We start from the raw sequence: 14420 nt of genomic DNA, 5'->3' as shown, positions 1-14420 counted from the left end.
GATTTATGCAAAGTATTAACCTTTTAAATCAGTTATATTCATATCTCCATTCACACAGTCACTAAGAAATTATTTGCTATGGTAAACTCTCCATGCGGTTTGTACATTTCATTGAAGGCCAAGGCCAAGTAGTACATTATTGTAATGAGGTCTCTTCACACATATTAATTTTAATTATAGGAGTAATGCATACTCATTTTTTAAAAGCACTCTCAGAGTATTTAAAAATAAAAAGCAGAAAGTCCTTCTGGTTTGTCCCTCAGGAAGAGTCATTTTTAATACTCAAGTTGTGTCTTTCAGACAGTTTTTTTCTAAGTAAGCATGCATCTATACATATGTACATACACATCAAATAATATTACACAAACATTCTTCCTTGTAAGCCTGCATACCTCTTTCTTTGTGAATGCTGGATAAAATCCTATGTATGCTCTGTAATTTAATCCCTCACCGATAACAATTTTTAAACTTTAATATAAAATTAGCATCCCTATTCATATTACTTAGAGTGAATTCTTAGAAATGCATCTGCTGACTCAAAGAAATGTAGGTTTACATTCTAATAGATACTGTTAAAATGTCCTTGGACCAAATGACATTCCCATCTTCAATGAAGCCTTTACATTTAATTCACTAAGATGAAACTTCGGGTCCATTTTTAACTACACACACACACACACACGCACACACACACACACACACACACACACTAGGCTTTACTCTAATTTAAGAAATGTATACACATGTACCCCATAGATATATAAACTTTCTGTGTACCCACAAAAATTAAAACTTTAAAAAAAATTTTTAAAGAAATGTATTCATATCAGAAATCTGAAGATTACTATTGAGATTTTAAAATTGAGATAAATATGCCCTCCTTTAAACAGATTATGTCATGATATAAAACTTACCTTATTTGTCAAAAGATTGTTTTTATCATACACAGATGTGTAGTTTTTATAACTGGGGTATAAGTTTTTCACAGCTTCAACTTCATCACGATTTTCACTTATATGGCTCTACAAGAAAAAAATAATATTTTCATTTTTCTTCTGTAAAATACCATTAGAAATTACACTTCCTACCTCAAAATGGTGTGAATGGTTTTCTACTTGCCTATTTAAGGGACCACATAGAAAGGCAATGAAGATTACACATGCATTTTGTTAGAAACAATTATATTCATCATAGATAATATAATGTATATGACAAAGAAACTGAATATTATGAACATGTAGTGTGTGTGTGTGGATGTGGGTGTGGGTGTGTATGTGTATGTATAATATCAAGACAAATTTTTCCAACAAAGTCTTTTCAAATTCTGACCTCCAGCTGGAACAAATATGAAGTCCTCCTTGAAGATAGTCAGGACCCTAGCAACCTGCCTCTTCTGGTGCTGGCCTTTCTTTTGTTTTGAGATAGGGTCTGGCTCTGTCGCCCAGGCTGGAGTGTAGTGGCACAATCTCCACTCACTGCAACCTCTGCCTCCCAGGTTCAAGTGAGTCTCCTGTCTTAGCCTCCTGAGTAGCTGGGATTACAGGCATGTGTCACCATGCCTGGCTAATTTTGTATATTTAGTAGAGATGGGGTTTCACCATGTTGGCCAGGCTGGTCTCAAACTCCTGACCTCAAGTAATCTGCCGGGCTCAGCCTCTCAAAGTGCTGGGATTACAGGCGTGAGCCACCGTGACTGGCCATACTGGCCGTTTAAGAAAAGAGCTCAGTGTTCATAAAAAAGCAGACAGTGGGGTTCACTTATATGAACACTGGAATTTGAGTAAAGAGAGCTGGGTTTGGCCCAAGTTCTGACAGCTATGTGTCCTAGAGAAAGTCATTCTTTTCTTTGGACAGCAATTTTCCCATCTTTCAAAAAAAAAAAAAAAAAAGGGTTGGGCTAGATGAGTGATTTTCCAAATTCTCTCGGCACTGAATATATTATTCATATAAAAATTCACAGAAACCCAATATATAGAAGGCATAAAAGCACTGCCCCTCCGGATGCAGCAGGATTGAGACTCTGGGACCCTGTCTCCATTCTGTGCCCTTTGTTAGTTTCCAGAATGAGTTCTCCAAAAAAGAGTTTGAAAATAGCTGAGCTAGAAAATTCCACGGTCATCAAGAAACAGCCCATAAGAATCCACATGCAAGCAAAACAATAAGTCCTATGCCCCCACACTGAAAAAGGCCCCTAAGACCTTTCTCTAGGGCACCACAAAATCTAAGAGGGCATAATTAATACTTCCAAGAATGGCAATGCCATTTAGAATATGCGTAGCTAAATTTTTAAAAGAAAAAAATAGCAATGTTCTGAAAACACGTGTTTTACTCAGACAATGAACTCCATCCCTGGCCTTGAGGAAGTCCCAGACCACCGATGAAATGCATGGACAGCAACAGAAGAAAGGACAATCTGATGATTCGAGTCATTTGGATAAATGTGAGTAAATGTGCATACATCCACATGCATCTCTCTAGCAAGGATAAACTTGATTTTGTTGTGTGTTCTTCTCATCTTATTTTTCATGTATTTTTAAATGTTCATGTGTATTTTATTTTGTCGGCGACAGAAGCATTTTGTTTGCAAAGCAGAAACATCAGGTAAGTTTTGAATTTTATCTCCAGCAGAGAAATGTGTGGGACTGAATTAAAAATTCAAAAATTATAGGCTGCAAATAATAATAACAATAATAGGGAAGGTGAGAGCGGTTAATGGTTCCTAAGAAAATAGATTTGGGAAACAAAAACCAAAAAAACACTGATTTACAAATGGTAAAGAATCAATGTGTTGTCTCTGCCCTGATCTGACCTTTCTTATAAGACCGTCAACTCCTAAGAGGAGAAATTTTAGTACAGTATGTAATTAAGCTTGGATGGGAGAAGGGGAACTCTCAATTTTAACCCAGATATAAGCTTTAAAAAAGTGTTTTATTCCTAAATTGCAACAATTTAATGACAAAGCAAGGTATACTTTTTTGTTCTGATTTTAAATTAAGAAACTCAGAACAAAAGGGATTTTAAATGCTATTTTGTAAGGTGGAAATTAGGCTCTTTTTGCTTTTCAAATAATAGCTGGTTTCTCTAAGAATGAAGGTACAGAACACACTGAGAAAGTATCAAGTGAAAGAGAAGTAGGAAATAAATGCATTAAATGTATCCTACAGAGAACAGATCACAGTCTGTTATTGATCTTGCCACTACTTAAAACGATTTTCTTGTCTTTAGAAGACTGATCAGAAAACATTGAGGGTATAAGGAACTTCAGGTTTCTTATCTGCAAAATGAAAGAATTGGATTAGGTGATATCTACAGGGGTCCTTTCTCTCCTGTTATGCTGTGACTCTAGGATATCTCAGTTGAAGAAACAGATTACTCAGTAAAACAACTACAGATTATTGGAAATGATGATTTAAGGGTGCTGAGAAATCTTGCAGGTCTGCATAGAGGCATAAAGAGAAGAAGAATACCCACCTGAATGTGCAAATCACGGGTTTTAGCAATGTTGCCCAGTTCACCCATCAAAGTCTCAGAGCAGGAGAGGGAAAAACGTGGTGTCACTATGGGCTTCACTCTAGAATACTGGAGATAATTAAAAACAATTGATACCTCTTCCTTACATCATATACAAAAATTAACTCAAGATGGATTAAAGACATAAATGTAAAACCGAAAACTATAAAAACCCTGGAAGGGCCAGGTGTGGTGGCTCACACCTGTAATCCCAGCACTTTGAGAGGCCAAGGCAGGTGGATCACCTGAGGGCCGGGAGTTCGAGACCAGCCTGACCAACATGGAGAAACCCTGTCTCTGCTAAAAAATACAAAATTAGCTGGGCGTGGTGGCGCATGCCTGTAATCCCAGCTACTCGGGAGGCTGAGGCAAGGGAACTGCTTGAACCTAGGAGGCGGAGGTTGTGGTGAGCCGAGATCTCACCATTGCACTCCAGTCTAGACAACAAAAGAGAAACTCAGTCTCAAAAAAAAACAAAAAACCAACCAAACAACAACAAAAAAACAACCTTGGAAGACAACCTAGGCAATACCATTCAGGACATAGGCATGGGAAAAGATTTCATGACAAAGACACCAGAAGCAATTGCAACAAAAGTAAAAATTGATAAATGGGATGTAATTAAACTAAAGAGCTTCTGCACAGCAAGTGAAACCACCAACAGAGTAAACAGACAACCAACAGAATGGGAGAAAGTTTCTGCAAACTATGCATCTGACAAAAGTCTAATATCCAGCATCTATAAGGAACTTAGACAAATTTATAAGAAAAAAACAACCCAATTAAAAAGTGGGCAAAGCACATGAACAGACACTTTTCACTGTTTTACATATGATTGATGCAGCCAACAATCACATGAAAAAAAAGCTCAACATCACTGATCATTAGAGAAATACAAATCAAAACTGTAATAAGATACCATCTCATACCAGTCAGAATGGATATTATTAAAAAGTCAGAAAAATAGCAGATACTGGTGAGGTTGTGGAGAAAAAGAAATGCTTATAGACTGTTGGTAAGAGTGTAAATTACTTCAACCATTGTGAAAGACAATGTGGTGATTCTGCAAATACCTAGAGACAGAAATACCATTTGACTCAACAATCCCATTACAGGGTATATACCAAAAGGAAATAAATCATTCTGTTATAAAGACACATGCACACATACACTCACTGTAGCACTATTCACAATAGCAAAGGCATGGAATCAACCTAAATGCCCATCAATGATAGACTGGATAAAGAAAATGTGGTACATATACACCATGGAATACTATGCAGCCATAAAAAGAGAATGAGATCATGCCATTTGCAGGGACATGGATGAAGCTGAAGGCCATTATTCTTAGCAAACTAACGCAGGAAGGGAAAGTCAAATATTGCATGTTCTCACTTATAAGTAGGAGCTAACTGATGAGAACACATGGACCCATAGAGGGGAACAACAAACACTGGGGCCTATCGGCAGGTAGAGGATGGAAGGAGGGAGAGCATCAGGAAAAATAACTAATGGGTAGTAGGCTTAATACCTGGGTGATGAAATAATCTGCACAACAAACCCCTATGACACACATTTACTTGTGTAAACAAACCTGCATATGTACCCCTGAACTTAAAAGTTTTTTCAAAAAAAGGAAACTATGGATATCATGAATGTGAAGGGTACCCCAAAATGCATATCATACAGCAAGATGATTTTGTGTCTTCATTTTGGGGAGCAGTCCTCCATTCTAACAGTCGGTGGAAGTACGGGGTTTCATGAAAACAGCTCAAAGTGGAGAATAAAGGAGGGTATCTTCTTCAGCACCCAAGTTCAACAAAAGATCCTATCCCAAATGACAGATGCTCCTCTGCCACCACATTAAGGCTCTGATGAAGGCTAGACTGGGTAGCCTTTATGAAGAAAAGTGGAGGCTGAAGTTTTAAAAGAGTGCTGGGGAGACTAAAAGTGAGGTGATAGCCGATTCCATTTTGGGAATACATCTTGTCCAGGTGTGCTGGTTACAGCCTTCCTGAGCACTATTCAGTTGTAGGATTGGCTCTGGTGGCACCTGAGGTGAGTGGCCAGGCAGGAGAGAAGGACTCATAGAGGGGTAGTGAGGATAAGGATCTACAAAGTTTCATCTAAATCTCCCAAAGTTAGATGGAAAGAAATTTTGAGATTTCTTATGATTTCCTATCAGGCCCCAAAAGATGATCAGGGAAGGGTCAGGCTTGCCAGTCTAAGAGATTGCTTGACAGAGCCACATGCCAGCCTGTTAGGGGTGGAGGCAGGAAACAGCATTGTCTCCACAGGCTCACCAACACCAGGGGACCACAATAGGGGGTGCCTGCTGCATGCCTGCAGGCCATGTGAGGTGTCACACACATAGGGACCAAGACAGCCAGTGGCAGGGGCATAGGACTAGACACTGCCTGTGTTACAGAGCAGACCAAGGGCACAAGTGGCCAGAGCCAATGTTGAGGTGGCCACCAAGCAGTCCCCAACTTCCAGGTGCCACCAGTCAGCCCACGCCCATCAAGCCCTGTCCCTGCTTGCCAGAAACCAATCCTGTGAAATCAGAAGATCCCAGAGGGGGGTAAGGAAAACCACTGAGGAAGAAAAACCTACCCTGAGACGGTAACTCTAACCTGAGCAGTGACTGAGATTGTCCTAATAAAAATTGGATCAACTAAAAGCTTAGTGAACTTAAGACGAAGTTTACCTGCCTGACGAAATTTAGTTTTTCTGTTGCATGTAGGCATGGGGTTTGGGAGCCAAGAAAAGTACACACAATTTTAAGAATAAAGCAAGTTTGATGTTTGTACATATGTGAACGATATCTAAACAAATCCACTAAAATCATTAATATTTCATTATTTCAAAATGTATTTAAAACAAAACACAGAGGGCTAGGTACAGAGCTGCCCCCAAGAAAGCAAAAAATGCCTGACCTCTGTTTCTATAAGTTTGACTTTTTTTAGATTTCACAAATAAGTGAGATCATGCAGTATTGTCTTTCTGGGGCTGGCTTATTTCACTTATTGTAATGGGCTGTAGGTTCATCCACATTGTCACAAATGGCATGATTTCCTTCCTTTTTATGGTTGAATAATATTCCATTGTGTTTGTATATAGACATATACACTGCATTTTCTTTATTTGTCTGTCTACAGACACTTAAGTTGTTTCCATATCTTGGCTATTCTGAATGATACTGCAATGAATATAGAAGTGCAGATATCTTTTCAAGATGCTTATTTTGCATCTTTTGGATATACACCCAAAAGTGGGATTGCTGGCTTATGTGGGGAGATGATGGTCAAAGGGTACAAATTTTCAGTTATAACATGAACAAGTTCTGAGGATCTAGTGTACAGCGTGTGTGGGAATAGATGTGTTAACAAATTTGATTCTAATAATCAATAAACAATGTATAAATATATCAAATCATCACATTGTACACCTTGAGTGGATTCAATTTTTGTCAATTAAATATTTTAAGATAATTTTTTAAAAATGTCTGACTTCACTGAGCTGACAGTGACAGTCCACAGTGACACATCAGGCTCTAGGTAAATACTTCTACATGCATGAGATAAGCCAGTCGTACACAGACTAATCACTATCAAGCAACTTTATGAATCCTACAGCTAATGCAAAGGCAATCTAAAAGCGAGCTCTGAACAAAGTTACTCACGTTCTTTTGGAGCATTTCTGACACAAATCTGAAATAAAGCAACAAATGGGTTAGAAAACTTGAGCATTTTCTTTTTTTCTTTTCTTTATTATTATTTTTTTCTTCAGACAGAGTCTGGCTCTGTCGCCCAGGCTGGAGTGAAGTGGTGCGATCTCGGCTCACTGCAAGCTCCGCCTCCCGGGTTCACGCCGTTCTCCTGCCTCAGCCTCCCGAGTAGCTGGGACTACAGGCACCCGCCACCACGTCCAGCTAATTTTTGTATTTTTAGTAGAGACGGGGTTTCAGCGTGTTAGCCAGGATGGTCTTGATCTCCTGACCTGGTGATCCGCCCTCCTCGGCTTCCCAAAGTGCTGGGATTACAGGCGTGAACCACCGCGACCGGCCGACCATTTTCAAATAAACATTTTAAAAAGATAAAAACATGATTCTTACATATCCTGATTTTCATGCAAACATTTCTAATGCTGCACATGTTCCACCACCACTAATTAAAGATTAACAAGTAGTAATTACTCTGCTTTTTTACTTGCAGCCAGAGATGGAGTGCAAAATCACAGGGAAACGTAATGTTATCATCTAGCATCGGTCGGGCTGTTCTCAAATATTCCCACAGCACTCAAGCTGTTCTACTAGCTCAAGCTCCGTTTGGAGAAATGTTGCAATATATTATGCTCTACGGTTGTTAGAGTCATGAAGTCCTATGCACTTGGAGGCTTTTAGAAGCCATGAAGCTCTTTACTTCGAATTCTCCTAAAGTGGAAGCTACTTGTTCCCACAACATCACCATTTATTTACAAGGGTAGAGTTCTCTTGGGGATGAACCTTGGAGTAAAGCAGAAGGAAAAGGCGAGAGTTGGTTGTGAGGTGCATGGGGAATGGGATGGTAGTGATCCCACCAGTTTATGCCTGCAGGGATGGTGGCAACTGTAAAGACTATGAAATGGCTCTTTCTGCCCTCCCTAGGCAGCTGTAGTTTTCTGCCTTCTGGCATTCCTTTGTTTCAGAACAAAATGAGAATTAAGGTTTACTATCACCACAAAAATGGATTAATAGATAAGCTGGGATAGGCTGATGCTAAAGGAAGGCGGGTACTTCCTCCTCTCTGTGAGCATGTAAGCAGCCCCTCTGCTCCCTTTTCAGAGGACACTTTTAAGGGGAAAGGGGTCTGGGGAACAGAAAAAAAGCTGAACTTCTAAAACCTGCATCAGAATATGTTTGGTCTTGGCAAAGATTTGTATCTAAAGCATTTTCTTCTGTATCTCTTAGATGTTGAACAGAATAAAATTACATTTTGGCCAGGTGCAGTGGCTCACGCCTGTAATCTCAGCACTTTGGGAGGCTGAAGCAGGCGGCTCACTTGAGGTCAGGAGTTCAAGATCAGCCTGGCCAATGTAGCAAAACCTCATCTCTACTAAAAACATAAAAATTAGCTGGGCATGGTGGCAGGGGCCTGTAATCCGAGCTACTAGGGAGGCTGAGATATGATAATTGTTTAAACCCGGGAGTGGGAGGCTGCAGTGAGCTGAGACCGTGCCACTGCACTCCAGCCTGGGCTACAGAAGAAGACTCCATCTAAAAAAAAAATAAAAAATAGAAAATAAAAATAAATAAATAAACCAATACAATTTCTTGTCAAATCCTTAAGGTACTATAGAAATGCCATTTTAAAATATAAGAAAAGTATTTATATGGTCAGTAGAATCTCCCAATGTTGTATGAAAAAGAACATAATGAAAATTCATAATCTCAAGCCATAGTATGACCCACAACCAAAAGTAATTTAATGAGCAGGCCATATGTACTTAAAAGCAAATCCAATCTACAGGAGAAGCCCTGGTCTATAATAAAGGGTAGGGAGAGGGTAAATGATTTACTTCATTTTACAAGAGGATTTACCCTAGGACTCCTATAGCAAGTTCCTGCAGGCTTTAAATATAATTTGTTACACAAAAATAATATTGACATTCAAGTTGGACAAACCCACACAGTGACCTTGGCAAATAGGAAGAATGCCTCAGTGCATTAATCATCTTTCAACTTTAATTCGACGCAGTGTGTTAATACATCTTGAGCTTCTCAGGCGTTTTTTGGTTTTGGCTTCAACAATGTGTGATTAAGGGAGAAAAGTGAGGGGAAGAATGCTAGAAGCATCAAGAGAAGCACTACTGTACCACAGGAGAAAATCACAGAGAGCTGGAGTCTCTGCAAATATGCTCACAGCTATTTATTCTGTACAAAATCTTCCTTTTAAAAAAATCTAATCACTTTCTACTCAACTCTTATCTAAAGTGGATGTGAACTAGAAAACACAAATGTACATGAACACAATCTCACCCACATACTGCTATTTTTAAAAACTATTTATATTGAAGTATAATTTACATACCATAAAATTCACCTGATTTAAGTGCACAAATCCATGATTTTTAGTAGATTTATTGCGTTTTACAACCACCATCATAACCTAGTTTTTGAACATTCTCATCACCCCAGTTAGATTCCTTGGGCCCATTTAGTTAATAGCTATTCCTGGGCCGGGCACGGTGGCTCACACCTGTAATCCCAGCACTTTGGGAGGCTGAGGTGGGTGGATCACGAGGTCAGGAGATCGAGAGCATCCTGGCTAACACAGTGAAACCCTGTCTCTACTAAAAATACAAAAAATTAGCTGGGCGTGGTGGCGGGCGCCTGTAGTCGCAGCTACTTGGGAGGCTGAGGCAGGAGAATGGCATGAACCTGTGAGGCAGAGCTTGCAGTGAGCCAAGAATGTGCCACTGCACTCCAGCCTGGGCAACAAAGCAAGATTCCGTCTCAAAAAAAAAAAAAATAGTTTTTCCTACTTCCAGCCCCAGGCAATCGCTGGTGTTCTGTCTCCATGAATTTGCATTTTCTATACATTTCATATCAATTAAATCATACAATGTGTGGCCTTTTGTGTTTGGTTTCTTTGTCTTAGCACAGTGTTTTTAAAAACCATCCATGTTGTAGTATGTATCAGTGCTTCATTCCTTTTTATGGCTGAATAATATTCCATTGTATACCACATTTTGTTTATCCATTCACCAGTTATGAACATTTTGGTTGTTTCCACTATTTGGTGCAGGACAAGTTCTCATATGGCCTTGGTGACCCAGTTTTTCCCCTTTTCTTACTTGTAGTTATCAGAATAACTGTAGAATGTGCTGGAAATGCAACCACCCTGAGATATGGAGAAACTGGTCAGAACAGCCTGGGTTCTGTTCCCATTTCTCCTAGAACAGGATGTTCTGCAATGTTTTAGCTCAGTGAGACCAGTTTCATCTGGGTATAAAACCACAGGTAGAGCATGCTCACAGGGTCCCTCAGCTATGATGTGATGTGGGGCATGCACATATGAGACTCTTGGGCAACTTTCCTGAGCCGTGGAGGATCAGTTCACCAAGGCTTCTATTGTCCCTTGCTACCTATCTGTGCATAATAAACTTGCTTTGCTTAACTTGTTGTATAAGTGTGCTGTCTCACCAGATTCATGCAAGTGGTGTGCAGTATTGGTGAGGTGTTTAGAGTCCTCCCCTGGGATTGATACCTATGTGCAGTGAACCTGCTCTGCATTTGTCTTCTATAAATGATGTCACTATGAACATTTACCTGCAAGTCTTTACGTGGAAACATGTTTTCATTTTCCTTGCACATCTTTACTTTTTATGATTCTATCTGCATATGGTATCCTATTCTTTGAGGTGGAAATCTTTCCAAAGTAGGCTGTCCACAATCTTTGGGAATCCAGCTCAATGTCCAGCAGCAGCAGAGTGGGCCTTGGTCCCTCCCATGGTCTCTCTCTAGCCTGTGTCACCACATAACATCCTCAGAGCTTTTATTACAGGTAGTAGAGTGAGGCCCTATTCCCTAGGAGCACAGATGTAGAACCAAAGCAGAAAAAGGAACCACATCTTCCCTCCTGTATGCCTGCATTTCAGCTTGCAGAGATGTTCTTTCAGGTCACCTTTGTGGAGAGGGGATATTCTAGATCCCTATATTAGCCTGTTATGGCCATTACAGCATACATCCAGAACAACTTTCCTGTTCCCAAGGTAGGACGAAATAGTAGTGAAGGATGCATATACCACCTTGAGAAAACAATAAAAGATACCCTATTATGGTAACTTTTGGTGGTTTCATTACAAAAAAAAATTCTTCTTTATACCTTTTTGTGTTTCTCTAAGTTCTGGACCATGGAAACACATATTACTTTGGTATCTTTTAAAAAAATCCTTTTGTAGTGAAAGTCTTTCATTAACCTGTAACTATAACTCATTTTTCCTAACTTCTTGTATACTATTTTATTTCACAAATAATTATTCACTTCCATCATCATTTTTAAATTAACACATGCCATAGCAAGTATTCTTGCATACCCTCTGTTTCTCTCTCTTTTATTCTCTTTACTTACATTGAATATGAGGTGTGATCTATATCATGAGAGAAAGAACTTTGAGCCGGGCACAGTGGCTCATGCCTGTAATCCCAGTGCTTTGGGTGGCCAAGGCAGGTGGATCACCTGAGGTCAGGAGTTCAAGACCAGCCTGGCCAACCTGGTGAAACCACGTCTCTACTAAAAATACAAAAATTAGCTGGGTGTGGTGGCACGTGCCTGTAATCCCAGCTACTCGGGAGGCTGAGGCAGGAGAATCTCTTGAACACAGGAGGTGGAGGTTTCAGTGAGCTGAGATCGCGCCATTGCACTCCAGCCTGGGTGACAGAGTGACAGTCTGTCTCAAAAAAAGAAAAGAAAAGAAAAAAAAAAAAGAACTTTGAATTTAGAGTCATAGACCCTGGTTTTGAATTCTGGCTCCACTACTTAAAAGCTGTATGACTGTGAGCAAGCCTCTTAGCCTATGTCAGACTCAGCTTCCTTATCATAAAAGACAGATGTGGGCTGGGCGTGGTGGCTCACGCCTGTAATCTCAGCACTTTGGGAGGCCGAGGCGGGCAGATCACGAGGTCAGGAGTTCGAGACCAGCCCAGCCAACATAGTGAAACCCCGTCTCTACTAAAAATACAAAAATTAGCTGAGTGTGGTGGCATGCACCTATAGTCCCAGCTACTCAGGAGGCTGAGGTGGAAGAATCGCTTGAACCCAGGAGGCAGAGGTTGCAGTGAGCTGAAGGTTGCAGTGAGCTGAGACCACGCCATTGCACTCCAGCCTGGATGACAGAGTGAGACTCCGTCTCAAAAAAAAAAAATAAAAATAAATAAAAAATAAATAAAAAGACAGATGCTTCATGGAGATTTCTATGAGGATCAAGTGTGGCACTACAAAGGAAAGCTCTTTGTAAATCATTAATGATTATCGAGTGTTTGATCAAATTCACTGTAGACTAACCGACCCATTGCATTAAACAGAACATTCTGAGTCACTATGTGCACATCCCAACTGGGTGATAACAGTATCCTGTTTCCTTTTTCCATCTCTAACTCCATCAGTGCAGCACAGGAATTCACCTGTAAGACAAATCAAGACAAATGGGCCTTTTACCTCTCAGTTTCCTTGATCGATTCCTCAGTGGTCTCCTTGTATTCTGGAAAAGTGTCATTCAAATCCATGCAAACTTTGCCCACAAATGCCCGCTGTCCAAATTTATCTGTAAAGTATACACAAAAAGAATATGAAGGCATGTTTGTTTCTGAAACAGTACTTTTTCTTTTTCTTTTTTTTTTTTTTTTTGAGACGGAGTCCCGCTGTTTAGCCCAGGCCAGATTGCAGTGGCGCAATCTCGGCTCACTGCAAGCTCCGCCTCCCAGGTTCATGCCATTCTCCTGCCTCAGCCTCCCGAGTAGCTGGGACTACAGGCGCCCGCCACCGCGCCCGGCTAATTTTTTGTATTTTTAGTAGAGACGGGGTTTCACCGTGTTAGCCAAGATGGTCTCGATCTCCTGACCTTGTGATCCGCCCGCCTCGGCCTCCCAAAGTGCTGGGATTACAGGCGTGAGCCACCGCGCCCGGCCAAAACAGTACTTTTTCTAAGCTTTCAACAGTAATTTTTAAATTAAAATCATATATGGAAAACATAAATGAAAATGTAAAAGATCATCCACCATCACACCACTTAAGAACAAGAACCACCACAAATTCCCTACTATATTCAGTAAACAGTAAAAGTTTTTCTATTCATCACTTTAACCCACTACCTCCCCCATCCCCATTCTCAGGCTGTCAGGTGGGTTTTTTGGTTTTTTTGTTTGTTTGTTTGTTTTGTTTTTGAGACGGAGTCTCACTCTGTCACCAGCCTGGAGTGCAGTGGCGTGATCTGGGCTCACTGCAACCTCCAACTCCCTGGTTCAAGTGATTCTCCTGCTTCAGCCTCCTGAGTAGCTTGGATTACAGGCACGCACCACTGTGCCCAGCTAATTTTTGTATTTTTAGTAGAGACAGTGTTTCACCATGTTGGCCAGGATGGTTCGATCTCCTGACCTTGTGATCTGCCTGCCTGGGCCTCCCAAAGTGCTGGGATTGCAGGCGTGAGCCACTGTGCTTGGCTGGGTGTTTTTAAGTTATTATTCAGTTTTTCCCTTTGCTTATCCAGTGTGTCTATATTTTCATTAAATATGTAACTATCTTTGCTCTCATTTTATCACATGGTAAAGGAGCAAACAGTCTCAGGTCCTAAAGAAAGACTCTCTTAGTCATTGGCATACCTACACTCAGCTTCTTCTACCCCAACTTACAATCTCCCTCCTGTCTCCTACTCTACCACCATCCCTTGGATCTCTCTCTCTCCCTCTCTCTATCATGGTCCTCTTCTAGACAAAACACAGAATGGCTGAGGGATAAGAACATGAGCACTGGAATTGGAAAGATTTGGACTGATTCCTTATTCCTCTGATTACTCCAGGTGGTGGATATTATTTGGTTAAGGTCTAAACCTATATATGTACAGTGTTCTCTGCTATGTGTAGGGTTGTGAGGAATACATGCAATAATATATATAAGGTGTCAGGCATGTGGTTATCTAGGCAACATACTGCTACTATTCTTTTTTTTTTTTAAGGTGGCGTCTCACTCTGTCGCCCAGGCTGGAGTGCAGTGGCACAATCTCAGCTCACTGAAAGCTCTGCCTCCTGGGTTCACGTCATTCTCCTGCCTCAGCCTCCTGAGTAGCTGGGACTACAGGCGCCCACCACTACGCTTGGTTAATTTTTTGTATTTTTAGTAGAGACAGGGTTTCACCATGTTAGCCAGGATGGTCTC

At 40.6% G+C, this 14420-nt stretch overlaps 1 protein-coding gene across 39 annotated transcripts in view; it reads right to left on the bottom strand.

The window, feature by feature from the left end:
* Positions 1 to 14420, bottom strand: part of GDA (guanine deaminase) — a 145262-nt gene that overhangs the window by 33171 nt on the left and 97671 nt on the right. For all 39 annotated transcript variants that reach the window (XR_001746423.3, XR_007061376.1, XR_007061377.1 and 36 more), the window contains 4 exons: positions 12708 to 12813; positions 7193 to 7220; positions 3472 to 3579; positions 915 to 1022 (listed from right to left, as the gene is read on the bottom strand). Coding sequence is in view for 29 of the 39 variants with exons in the window: in XM_017015338.2 (XP_016870827.1) it covers positions 915 to 1022; positions 3472 to 3579; positions 7193 to 7220; positions 12708 to 12813 (350 nt within the window). In the remaining 10 variants the exon portion in view is untranslated. The remainder of the gene's footprint in view (positions 1 to 914; positions 1023 to 3471; positions 3580 to 7192; positions 7221 to 12707; positions 12814 to 14420) is intronic.

The sequence above is a fragment of the Homo sapiens genome, chromosome 9 (genome assembly GCF_000001405.40).
Source record: "Homo sapiens chromosome 9, GRCh38.p14 Primary Assembly".
Classification (NCBI taxonomy): Eukaryota; Metazoa; Chordata; class Mammalia; order Primates; family Hominidae; genus Homo; species Homo sapiens.
Note: the sequence above shows the minus strand (reverse complement) of the source record. Positions and strands in the feature narration are given on the sequence as shown.